The sequence below is a fragment of the Homo sapiens genome, chromosome 2 (assembly GCF_000001405.40).
Source record: "Homo sapiens chromosome 2, GRCh38.p14 Primary Assembly".
NCBI classification, from domain to species: Eukaryota; Metazoa; Chordata; class Mammalia; order Primates; family Hominidae; genus Homo; species Homo sapiens.
In genome coordinates, this window is record NC_000002.12 from 35,149,824 (window position 1) to 35,163,073 (window position 13,250).

The 13,250-nt window shown below is 33.4% G+C and overlaps 1 long non-coding RNA gene across 1 annotated transcript; it reads left to right on the forward strand.

The window, feature by feature from the left end:
• The first annotated feature begins 9,260 nt into the window (after nucleotides 1-9,260).
• LOC107985808 (uncharacterized) lies at nucleotides 9,261-13,016 on the forward strand. Its single transcript, XR_001739188.1, has 3 exons — nucleotides 9,261-9,332; nucleotides 9,724-9,805; nucleotides 12,953-13,016. It is a non-coding gene; the product is annotated as an uncharacterized LOC107985808 (long non-coding RNA).
• Nucleotides 13,017-13,250: the final 234 nt, after the last annotated feature.

Genomic DNA, 13,250 nt, shown 5'->3' on the forward strand with positions numbered 1-13,250 from the left:
GACATTTTCATGGAAAGTAAGCCCTGTCTTTTCACCGAGATCATTCATCTCAGTGAGAGTATAAAGATCTACGGCCTTCGTACTTCAAGTGACATGAAAAGATATTTTTATTTCCCTAGTTTCCCATGGATTATTTATCTTATTTTAACATATTTTTCCCAATTTAACTAAAACCTGATCAATTTGTTAATATTACAAGGCAATTTCTCTTTGCCATTTTAAAGTCCATTCACAAAAGAGAAAATTCACATCAAAATGACGATGTATACAGGTACTTTCCCTTTAAGCTTATGAATCTGTAATGAACACTTAAAGGCAAAATAAAAATGTCAAATGGTATTATTTTAACAAACTAAAATAAAAATTATTTAATTTACATATTTTTGGCATCATTTTATATGCCTTGTGTCTGGTCTGTACCATATCGGCTAATCTTCAGCATTGTGGAGTGTGGAACTATTACTCAATACATCTGCATTCATCATAAGAAAAAGTTATATGTGCAAATAGAGTTAATTGGAAGTATTGATAAAGTATGTCATCAAAGTTATCAAAAATAAATTTTTATTACAGTTTTAGAGAGAAGTACATTTTATTTAATGTTAAAATTTTGAAAATATATAATTACCTCTCAAATAATTAAGTACTTTGAGTAAAGCACCTAACATTATAAATGCTCATCAATAGAGTGTGTGCAATAATTTTCAATGCCCTAGTAATTTAAAGTATTATTTAGAGCTTCTATACTTATGCATGGAGATTCTAGTTTATAATTAATGATTACATATACTTATATACATACACATTTATGTACATATGCATAAACAGATAGAGATGCTTTGTTCTTTTTAGCTCATCTAAACACATTTATCTTCACACATATGTCACTATATGCATATATATATTTCTCTCTAGTTTGCTGACTGAAGATCTTGGGATGTATAAGTTTCCAAAATTGTGTGAACCAATTCTTTATAATTATTTTTTTTCTATAGATATATACATCTTATTGGTTTTGTTTCTGTGGGAAACCCAGACTATTATAGGCAACAGTCAGTATGTTACTTTAGAAATACTTGTAAGAATTTTGTCTTCATAAATCATTCTTCAAAATCTATATATACATTTTATTTTATCTTATGTATTGTGTATTCCACAATAAAAACACGAGACATACAAACAAAAGAAATAGTTGCCAATCTTTCTTGAAAAGTATACTTACAAATGCTCTCTCACCTTCTTTTCTTCTGGAGTCTCTTACACAATCTGCTTAAATTCTAGTACAGAAATGGCTAGCACATAATAAAATTCTTCCCTAGGAGTTAAACTTTTAATTTTCATCACATATTTTACTTTTCTTTGTTTCAGAATATTCATTTATTTTTATCCGCAGTAATCTAGGTAGTGAGCTTTAGTTCTCATAAAACATTGGTATGTAAATATTCGCCTTTTTGTGCCGAAGCTTTCTTCTTCTAAACAAACACAAGTGGCAAAAGAAAGGGAAACCATCAAGATACGTAGTTTAATTTTAGCTTAAGATAAGACGAAAGTTTCTGAGAGAAACATATCTCTGACATATTATTTCACTGGCAAATCCACCACATATCTGAAATCTCAGTGGGCTGATGGACTCTCATTACTACAGTGGTTTCAGAGCATCTTTAAACAATTTGCGATTTATGCAAATTTTTGTGTATAGTATATTTTTGGTCAGAAATTACATGGCTTCCATTATATTCTCAAAGTTATCTCAGAACCTTCACAATGAGCCACTATTTCAATGTTCTGGAAGTTCTAGTTATTCCATACTATTCTTAAATATGGTGTTTGAATTACTAATATAACATGACAAATCCTGTTATAATTTCTGTCCCTCAGAAGTGATCATAATGTAGTTTCTCTCTTGTAAGATATATTTATAAGTAAACTAGATTATATGTTTGACTTGAATATGGAAATGAATAGGAAGTATGAAGGACAGCCAATTTTGTATCAATTATATTGTTTCTTGGTTCACAGGATAGATGATGAAACACGCCGAATAACAAATGCTTCAAATTACTACACTATCTCTTTTTTACTTGACATATGTCATATGGCTGCCCAGAGTGCCACTTTACTTTCCAAAAGAATACTACAACACAAAAATAATTGCATCAGTAATTGGGAATATACATTACATCTACTTTGCTTTTTGAAAGTCAAAACATGGTTAAATTACACAAATATGTTAAAGGACCCTGTAAAGTATACATTTCTATCAAAATCAGAGTATGATAGCTCATTCTTCTGGTTTCTTAAATGTTTCTGCCTAGTGAATAGCATTTTCAGTATATAAACTGTAATAGTATGTACTTAACTCTAAATTCATAATGAAAAAAATTATTCCAGGTAGATGTCTATCGAACTTGTTTATTTTTCAAAGAGTTTACTCTTGGTTTCATTAATTATTTTTATGGATTTTTGCATCTGAATTATTTAAGTTCTCTAATTTTATTTTCTTCTGCTACCTTTGGGTTTTCTTTTTTCTTTTTTTCTAGTTCCTTTAGGTACAACGTTAAAATTGTAATTCATCAACTTCTTGATGAAGGCATTTAGGGCTATAAACTTACCTCCTAATACTACTTTAGCAGCATTCCAGAAATTTTGGTAAGTTGTGTCCCCATTTTCATTAATTTCAAATAATTTTTTATTTCTGCCTTAATTACAGTGTTCACCCAGGAGTTACTCAGGAGCAAGTTGTTTAATTTCCATGTATTTGTGTAGTTTTGCGAGATCTTGCTATTGATTTATGTTTTTATTGCACTGTAGTTTGAGAATGTGCTTGCTATGATTTCATTTTTTTTAAAATTTATCGAGACTTACTTCATGACTGAGTATGTGACTGTGTGCCGATGGGAAGAATATATATACTGCAGTTGCTGGAAGAGCGTCTTGTAGATGTCTGTTAGGTTCAGTTAATCAAGTGTCGAGTCTAATTCCTTAGTCCTTTGTTAGTTTTCTGCCTCAAAGATCTGTCTAAAGCTGCCAGTGGGGTGTTGAAGTCTTCCACTATTATCATGTGGTTGTCTAGGTCTTTTTGTACGCCAAGAAGAACTTGCTTTATTAATCTGGGTCCTCCAATTCTGGGCATGTATGTATTTAGGATAGTCTTGTGGATTATACCTCTTATCATTATGTTCCCCTTGAGAATTGAAACAAGGTAAGGATGCCAATTCTCACCACACCTATTAAACTTAGAACTGGAAGTCCTATCTAGAGTAATCAGGCAAGAGAAAGAAATGAAAGGCAGTAAAATAGGAAAAGAAGAACTCAAAGTATCTCTCTGTGCTGATAATGTGATTCTATACTTAGAAAACTGTATAGACTCTGCCCAAGGCTACTAGAACTGATAAAAAAAATTTAGCGAGGTTTCAGGATACAAAATAAATGTACAAAAATCAGTAGCATTTGTATATACAAATAAAGTCTAGGCTGAGAGTCAAATCAAGAGCACAATTTCAATTACAATAGCCAGAAAGACAGTGAAATACCTATGAAGACATTTAAACAAGCAGGTGAAAGATCTCTACAAGGAGGACTGCAAAACACTGCTGAAATAAATTAGAAATGATGAAAATAAATTCAGAAACATTCCATGCTCATAGATCAGAAGAATCAATATTGTTAAAATGGCCACAATCCCCAAAGCAATTTATAGATTCAATTCTATTCTTACCAAACTACAAATGTCATTCTTTACAGAACTAGAAAAAAGCTATTCTAAAATTCATATGGAACCAAGAAAAACCCCCAATAGCCAAAGCAATCCTAAGCAAAAAGATCAAAGCCAGAGGCATCACACCACCAGTCTTCAAATTACACTATAAGTCTACAGTAACCAAAACAGCATGGTACAAGTACAAAAGCAGACACATAGACCAATGGAGCAGAATAGAAAACTCATAAATAAAACTGATCACCTAGAACCATCTGATCTTTGACAAGAATGACAAAAATAAGTAATAGGGAAAGAACTCTCAATTCAATAAATAGTGCTGAGATAACTGGATAATTCTATGTATAAGAATGAAACTACTCCCTTTCCTTTCACCATATACAAAAATTAACTCGAGATGGATTAAAAATTTAAAGGTAAGACCACAAGCTATAAAGATCCTAGAAGAAAACTTAGGACATACTTTTCCTGACATTGACCTTGACAAATAATTTTTGGCTAAGTCCCCAAAAGCAATTACAACAACAACAACAAAAATGACAAGTGGGTCATAATTTAACTCTACAGCCCCTGCACAGCAAGGGAATTACCAACAGAAAAAACAGACAAGCTACTGAATGGAAGAAAATATTTGCAAACTATGATTCCGACAAAGGTCTAATATTTAGAATCTACCAGGAACTTAAACAAATAAAAAGCAAAAAACAAATAACCCTATTTAAAAATTAGCAAAGAATATGAACAGATACTTCTCAAAATAAGACATATAAGTGGCCAACAAACATGAAAAATGTTCATCAGTAATAATCACTGGAGAAATGCAAATTAAAATCACAATGAGATAATATCTCAAGCCAGTCAAATGGCTATTTCTAAAAAGTAAAAAACAAACAAAAAAATTGATGCTTTTGAGGCTGCAGATAAAAGGGAATGCTTATATGCTGTTGGTGAAGTGTAAACTAGTTGAGCCACTGTGGAAAGCAGTTTGAAGTTATTTAAAAGAACTTAGAGTAGGGCTACCATCTGACCTAGCATTCCCATTCCAGGGTATACACCCAAACGAAAATAAATCATTATACCAAAAAGACAGACGCACTCATGTTTCCTCACTGCACGATTCACAGTAGCAAAGGCATGGAATCAATCTAGGTACTCGTCAATAATGGATTGGATAAAGAAAATGTTGTACATTATACCATGGAATACTACATAGCCATAAGAAAGAATGAAATCACGTCTTTTGCAGCAGCATGGATGGAGCTGGAGGTCATAATCTCAAGTGAACTAAAGCAGGGACAGAAAACAATATACTGCATGTTCTCATTTGTAAGTGGGAGCTAATCACTGAGCACACATGGACATACACATGGGAACAACAGATACTGCAGACTACTGGAGAAAAGAGGAAGGTAGGAGGGATGTGGGCTGAAAAACTACCTATGGGGTATTATGCTCACCACATGGGTGCAAGATACCCATGTAACAAAGCTGCACATGTGTCCCCTGTATGTAAAATAAAAGTTTAAATGTTTTTAAAAATAAAATAATATTAAGTCATATGTTTCAATGTTGTATGTTTATTGATATGTACACAAAAACATGCATACATACATACAGCTTCAGACGAAGGAAGAGCCAATGTTTCAGTTTGAGTCTGAAGGCAGAATAAAACCTGTGTCCTAGATTGAAAGGCAGTCAGGCAGAAGGATTTTCTTCTTACTCTAGGAAGTCAGTCTTTTTGCTCTATTCAGGCCTTCAAATAATTGTAGGCGGTGTGCCTACATCAGGGAACGCAATCTGTGATACTGGGTCTACTATGTTAATCTCATCCAAAAACATCCTCAACAGACACATCCACATAACGTTTGACCAGTTATCTGGGAATCCTATGTCCAGGCAAGTGGACGCATAAAATTAACCATAATATTGCCAATAACTTAAAGTCTCCCTGTGTGCTCCTTCATGATCATATGCCGCTGTCTAACCCTGAAGGAAAAAAAATAAGATTTTTTAAAAAATTGCCTGTTTATTAACTTTTCAGAATAATTCTGCATTCTTCCATTAGTTTATTGACTCAATATTATATTTGTAAATCACATACATATTGATTCTTGAAGATGTAGTTAATTCATTTTCTTTTGCATAATGAAATATAGTAGTGTAATGGAGTATAGTACTCCATCGCATTTAGGTACCACCTTTCACTTAACAATTCTGCTCTTGATAGACATTTGAAACATTTCCAGATGGGGGACATTATGAATAAATCTGTCTTCTATATTTCTTCTTATGCTTATAAAATTATAGGGCTTTAGGAGTATACTTACTGGGTCATGGGGTATATAAAACTTCAAATGGCATATAAGTTGTCCATATATGTGTGGCTCTTTTTCTAACCTCTATTGTGTTAGAGTGATGTATATGGCTCTTATTGTACAATTCTGCATTGTTTTTACCAAAGTATCTATATTCTCCTTAAATATTATTTTGGCTATTCTTAATTAGTTGCATTTTCATATACATTTCAGAACAGTGTTTAAAATCATATTGAAATTTTTTATTATTTAATTAAACACCTAAATTAGTTTAGATATAATTAATATTTTTAGTAGTGATGTATCTTATCCATAACCATGATAAAACTGTCCATTTATTTATGATTGTCACAAAATTCTTATGCAAATATTGTTAAGTTTATTTCTTGGCATTTCAAAATTTTGGTGATTTTATACATTTTGTTATTTTTTATTTTACATTGGTTAATATTTATAAATCAATGATTTCTGCATACTTATTTTTATGAAATATATTTGACATATGAGATATGTATACTTATTTTTATGGAATACATTTTTATTATTGTAATCATTTAGCTGTTGAGTCCTAAGATTTCTTATGTGCTATAATCCTATTATCTACAAATAATAATTGTTTTCTTTTTTCACTCCGTAATCTATAGTTTTTTTCTTTTTACTTGCCTTACTTCATTGACTAGTAAGAAACTTCATTAACTCGATAACTCTAGTTATAATGTTGAAGAAATGTGATAGTAGGTTTAATTATCATGTTTAGTATTTCAAAAGAAAATTTATCAACATTGTGTGTTATACAGGATAATTGATAAAAATATTATAAAGTGTTTGTAGCAGCTGGGCTTGGAGAGTCGCCTTTCTGATGTAATAATAGCTAAGCCCCTAAGAATGTGCATTTCTATTTCATAACTGATTGCCTGTAGAGCATACCTGAAATGAATATCACATATTTACATAAAAACCTCTATGTTGAGCTTGTGCCATTGGTTTTACCAATCAAATACCCCCATTCTAGGGTCAAGGCATCTACAAAGAACTCTCTCAGTGGCGGGTCAAAATTTAAGAAAAGACTGAATTCTTGCTGAAGTTTCAGGAGTGCTACACTGCCATATAATGTCTAATTCTACCTCTGTTGATAGCATTTGATGTTATTTGAAAGCAGCATATCTTCCCTGGATCAATTATAATTGTTTTTGTATTATACTTGCCTGCATATCCCTAAATCCAGATTTCCAGGATTCAAGCAATACCTTGAGCTACCTGATACAATTGTATTAATTTGGTCTTTTTCTTAAATGATGAAAGCTAATTTCTGTTATTTGTATCTAAGTGCCCTGACTGATATATCTTAGCACTTTCTACACCTAGATTGCTCCTTTCCTCCCTATTCCTCCTCTAATACTTCCATTTTTGTTTTGAATCTATACCACTTAGGACTTTTCTCTTGCTAGTGCTGTCTTTGCTGTGATTATCAATTTTACCTCCCTATTGACTTAGTATTGTCCCATCAGATCAAAAACATGCTTTCATTTAAAAAAATATTAAATCATGCCATCATATTTCTATCCAGCTACTTTCCTATTTCTCTGTTTAGCCTAATTACAAAGCTCTTCCAACTTCTGTACCTGCTGCATTCACTTAGTCATCTCCCAATTGCTCTGCAACCAGCTCGAATCAAACTTTTATATCCACAATTTTATTGAATCTCTCTTCAAGGTCACCCATGATTACCCTATGCCAAAGCCAATAAAAAATGTCCTGTTCTTTCCTAGGAAATCTATCAGTAGCATATAATATAATTGTCACTCTTTTTTTGAAATGATTTCTTTCATTCATTTCAATAACAACAAATCTTCCTACTTCAGTGGTCATTTTTGTTTTGTCTTTTGTTCAGTTCTTCTCTTCTACCAAACTGCTAAATGTTGTACTTTCTTTCCCTGGTATGACCTTCCCCATATATTTCTGCAAGGATACCTTCTTTTTATCCTTCATTTCTAGTATCATGTGTTACCATCCAACATCACTCTCTACAATATTTCTCAACTTTATTTTCGTCACATAACTTAATACAATCAGTCACGTTTTAATTTTAAATTGTATATAAGTATATTTTCTATCTCATTATTCTAGAAGTAATTGCCTCAGAGGGCAGGAGCTTTGATGGCATTATTGTTTGTATCCTCATATATAGATAAACTGTTGGCACACAAGAAACACTGTCTATATATTGGGTCAATATCGACAGTCAAGTTCTGTGCCAGCTCTTTATAATTAATTCATTCTATTTCCATTTGCGCACATGGAAGAATGAAAATAAAACTGAATGAAAACTTAGCTATCATCTTTTCAGTAGAACTGAATATCTCATACAATTTTCTTCCTGCACTAGAATAATAAATTATGCTTATATCACATCTATATTCCTCTAAGCATTTAGTTTACAGAGTCAAGTAATTTTGGAAATTATGCATAATGTACAATCCTCTTAAACAGTCCCTATTTAGATACATATATTAAAGTATATGAAAATATTTAAATGAAAAATCTTGTTTAATTATTTTCCTTTAGATTATCTTAATGTTTTATTTAGTATTTGATTTTAATATTTATTATTTTTTAAGAAGTTTTAGGGGTTAAAAATATATATATCACCTTTCACAGACTACTAAGTCTTAATATTATGCCATGTCAAGTAAAATGTAGAAGACTTAAAACCGTATCTCCCTTTATTTTCCCCTTTTATGTTATAATTTTCTATGTATTATATTTATAATCACTGAAGTTCTGCCACACAATGTTATATCTTGTGCTTTCGGCAGTTTATATTTTTTAAAAATTAAAAGAAAAGCTGTTGATTAACCCAGATTTTACTACTTTTTACTGGTTTATGTTCCTCTTGAAGTTCTAAGTTTCCCTGTGGTAGCATTTCACTTCAGCATAAAGAACTTGCTTTAGCATTTCTTCTATAGCATGTTTGCTGTTGAAAATTTTTCATACTTTTCCTTTATTTAAGAATGTATTTATTTTGCCTCATTCCTGAAGAGTATTTTTGCCAGATTTAGAATTCTAGGTTGACAGTGCTTTCCTTTTCATTACTTTATAGAAGTTCCACTGTCTGCTTGCCTCCATGGTTACTAATGAAAAAATCATAATTACTTGTATTTTTATTTCATGGCATATAATATGTAATTTTTATCTGACTACTTTCAATATTTTGCTTTGGTTTTCAGGCTTTCATAGTACTTTTCTGACCACGGTTTTCTGGAGTTTTTTCGTATGGAGTTTGTAAGCTTCCTGACATGGTAAGTTTATATTTTTCATAAAATTTTAGAATTTTTAGTCATTATTTCCTCATATAAATTTTCTGAATCACCTCAATGTCCTTTCCTTCTGGGACTCCATAGTTATGTTTGTTAGGCCTTTTTAATATTGTCCACAGGTCCAAGACTCGGTTTTATTTGCCTTTTCATTATTATTATTATTTGTAATCTTCATTCTCTGTGCTTTCGATGAAATAATTTCTGCTTCTCTATCCTAAAGCCACGTCTCTCCTCTGTCTTCTTTATTGTGTTATTAGGGGTATCCAGTGAAATTTTTATGTCCAATGTTGTACATTTTATGTCAAAACTAGCATTTGGTTCTTTTAAAGTTTCTGTGTCTCTTTGAGAATGTCTATCTCTTCATCTATTTCAGGATTATAACTGTACTTGATGGAGCACAGTTATAATAGCTGCTTTAGAGTCCTTGATAATTCCCACATCTGAGTCATCTCAAGGTTGGTTTCAATTAACTTTGAGAAATGGCTACTTTTCCCTTTCCCTCTTCTCACATTGTCCTAATTCTTTGTGTGTTAATAACTTTAGGTGGTATCTCAAACATTTTGAATACTAAATTGTGAGATTCTAGGTCTTGTTAAAAATCTCTGAAGAATACTAACTTTTTGTTTCATTCTGTTTAGTCTTGTTTTAGCAGACAATTAATCCAGGTGGTTTTAGACCACAGTTTTGTCTTCTTTCTGTGGACAGCAGTACTAGCACCAATTCAGTTTTCAAAACCTATTCTGCGCTAATTTAGGTTTGCTCCATGCACGTAGCACTGTTGGGACTTTGAGCAGTGGTTTATATGATTGTTTATTTTTCATGTATTTGCTATGCTGATGTAGTTATAGCCTGCAAGTGTTGGACATATCCTGAGCATGAGAGCTTGGCCATTTCATACACAGATTTAGGGGATGTTTTATCTTCAGTTCTCTTTTATAAGGAACACTCTTCATACTCTGTCTTATGAGGTCCCTTTACCTCTTCTCTCACAACAAACTGTGGGTTTTTCTTGGAGCTTCAGTTTTCTATGCTGCTATGGCAGCTGCAACTTCAAAATGCTTACCTGCCTCTAGGGCCAAACTATAAGAGAATAAAAAAGAAAAAAATGAAAACAGGCAGATTTTCCCATATTTACCTTCTTCCAAGTACTCCCTTTCTTCACCTTCTGTACAAAAAGAAAAGCTTCTCTTGGAGTTTTTGCTTCCATTGAAGCTGCCTTCTGCTTGTTGCATGGTTATATCAGGGAGTTAAAATAGGACCAAAACAACGACAACAAATAAAAACTGGGAAACACAATCATATGAGTCACCTCTTCAGATTTTTCTGGTTTGGCTTACTTTTTGAAATCCTCTCAAAATTGCTTTTTGTATATGCCCGCAGTTCTAGTTATAATCTTTTTCCAATAGTGGGTCATAAGACCCTCATTTCCAAGGAGCTCTTCCCCATACATGGGAGGAAGGAATGCTACAGACAGGTCCAGAAGGATCTGAACAGAAAGGCATTGTTGGGTTTACCCCTCTGTCCACTAGCATTAGATCAGACCCTTTGTGTCCAAACATATTTCTGCATGGCTATCCATTCTTCACTGAATCTAAGCATAAAAATAAATAGTTTTTCCGGTATCTTTGGGTCTTCATTCTGAAGGCTGCTATAAACTTTTGATTAAATGAATCTATTACGATTTTGATTAAATAAATCAAAACTTTTGATTAAGTACATTATGCTTTTCATTTGTCTTTTGTTAATAGGAGTGTCAGACATGACTCTTACAGTGAGAAAATGTGTGATATCTGCCCTCCCTTAGAAGAAAGAAAGGCTGAAATTCGATAGGCAGCGATCTAGCTGCCAGAGAGATTTGACTGGCTCCAGGACTTAAGCTGGCCTAGGTGGGAAGATGGCCTCTGGCAACTCTAGAAGTTAGAAACCACCTAGATAGCCTGGAGACTTCAGCTGTCCCGAGTTAATAGGAAGGAAGTCTCTGTTTTCTTTTTTTCTGAATACTTTCCCCCCACCCTCGACCTTGATTCAATTAAATGTGAAACAGAGAAAACAATACTGCTTACTCAGGGTTGTTTTGAAGATTAACTGAGTTTCTACAGTGATAAAAGAGTGACTGACACATATCAAGCTTGCAATAAATGAAATTCTGAAATATTTTTTGTGTAAGCAGTTTCAGAGAAACATAAATGGTAATACAAGTTTATAGATATATATTATTTGTGAAAGAGAGCCTGCAAATATTACTATGAAGCTTATTGACACCAAAGACTTCAAATTAGGTTTCCTAAGAATAGGTTTGGGTATTATTTTAAGGGTAGACTTAAAATAATATAAGAAAATATCAACAACAATACACGGCATGGATTTTCAAATAAGTAGGTACTCAACAATACTAAAACAGATAAAAAATAGTAACCTGAACATTGGACTCTTTATGGTCCATGAAGTGTTGATCTGGGTAGTTTTTATTTTCTTTCTTAAATAACATTTAATTAAATGTAAATACAAGTGAACAATTTTGCATGAAACAATTTCTTTTTATATGTTGAAAAATCTGAAGATCTGGCAACTCGGGGGCTGCATTCTTAGATGGCTCCAATTTGAATGGGTTGTGTCAGTAGCCTCCTTGAGATGGAGCTTCAGTCTCCAAATCTGCAATTAGTTACAGTCCTACTGCTTGCTGTTGTTTCCACTACACTGAACATGGGTGTGAGTTTCCTTTTATCATCAAGTCTTTTTTTTTTTTTTTTTTGAGACGGAGTCTTGCTCTGTCACCCAGGCTGGAGTGCAGTGGCGCTATCTCGGCTCACTGCAAGCTCCACCTCCCGGGTTCACGCCATTCTCCTGCCTCAGCCTCCCCAGTAGCTGGGACCACAGGTGCCCGCCACCGCACCCGGCTAATTTTTTGTTTTTTTTTTTAGTAGAGACGGGGTTTCACCATGTTAGGCAGGATGGTCTCTATCTTCTGACCTCGTGATCCACCCGCCTCTGCCTCCCAAAGTGCTGGGATTACAGGCCTGAGCCACCGCGCCCGGCCCATCAAGTCTTTATTCTTACTTATTTGTTCAAACACTACGGTTGAGAGAAAAATTATACACATACACACATACCCGCGCCCCCACCACACACACAGAGACTGACACAAAGGATTTCAGTTGTGAAACTACAACACTAAGAAAGAAAAATAACTAAATCTCTGTTAAATTTCTTGGCCTCCTACTTGATTTAGTCAGAAAGCCTCTATACAATTCTAAGCCAACACTAATTAATAGGCCATTGCTTTTCAAAGTTTAATGTGGATGTGAATCCCCTAAGGATCTTAAGAAAATGCAAATCTTCACTCAGTAGGACTGGAGTGGGCCTGGGACACTGCAATCCCAATCGGTTCCTGAATGATGCTAATACTAGGATCTGAAAGGTCCACACTGAGTAGCAAGGAGTGTCCTGTAAGGTCTAACTCAAGCACTAGAGTGTTGTTGAAAATAAACCAATTGATAAAACTTTCTATTTCATGAGGAGCTCTGTAAGGCAATCTTCTTTTTTTCTAAAGGATAATTTTGGATACAAGAAAAATCTTTTTCTAATTATTTCTACAAATGTAGTTATTTTTGGCAGATTTTGATGGATGTACATTGATGGATAGCCACGTGGATCCAGAAAATAAAGGTAAGTATGTACCAGAGTGAATCAAGAAAGTCCTAAGATTTGATATGTCAGTCCAGGATTCTCCAACTAGCTTTTCTGTTTCCAACTGAAGACTTCTACTCTGCATTTGACTAAAGCAGAAGATATGCAAGGAAGCTCAGTCTCTCAATTGAGTGGATTCTGAAATTTATCCTGTTGTCTTCAGCTACTAAGGCTAATTTGCAAATCACACTGTGCACGGGTAAGCATAAACTG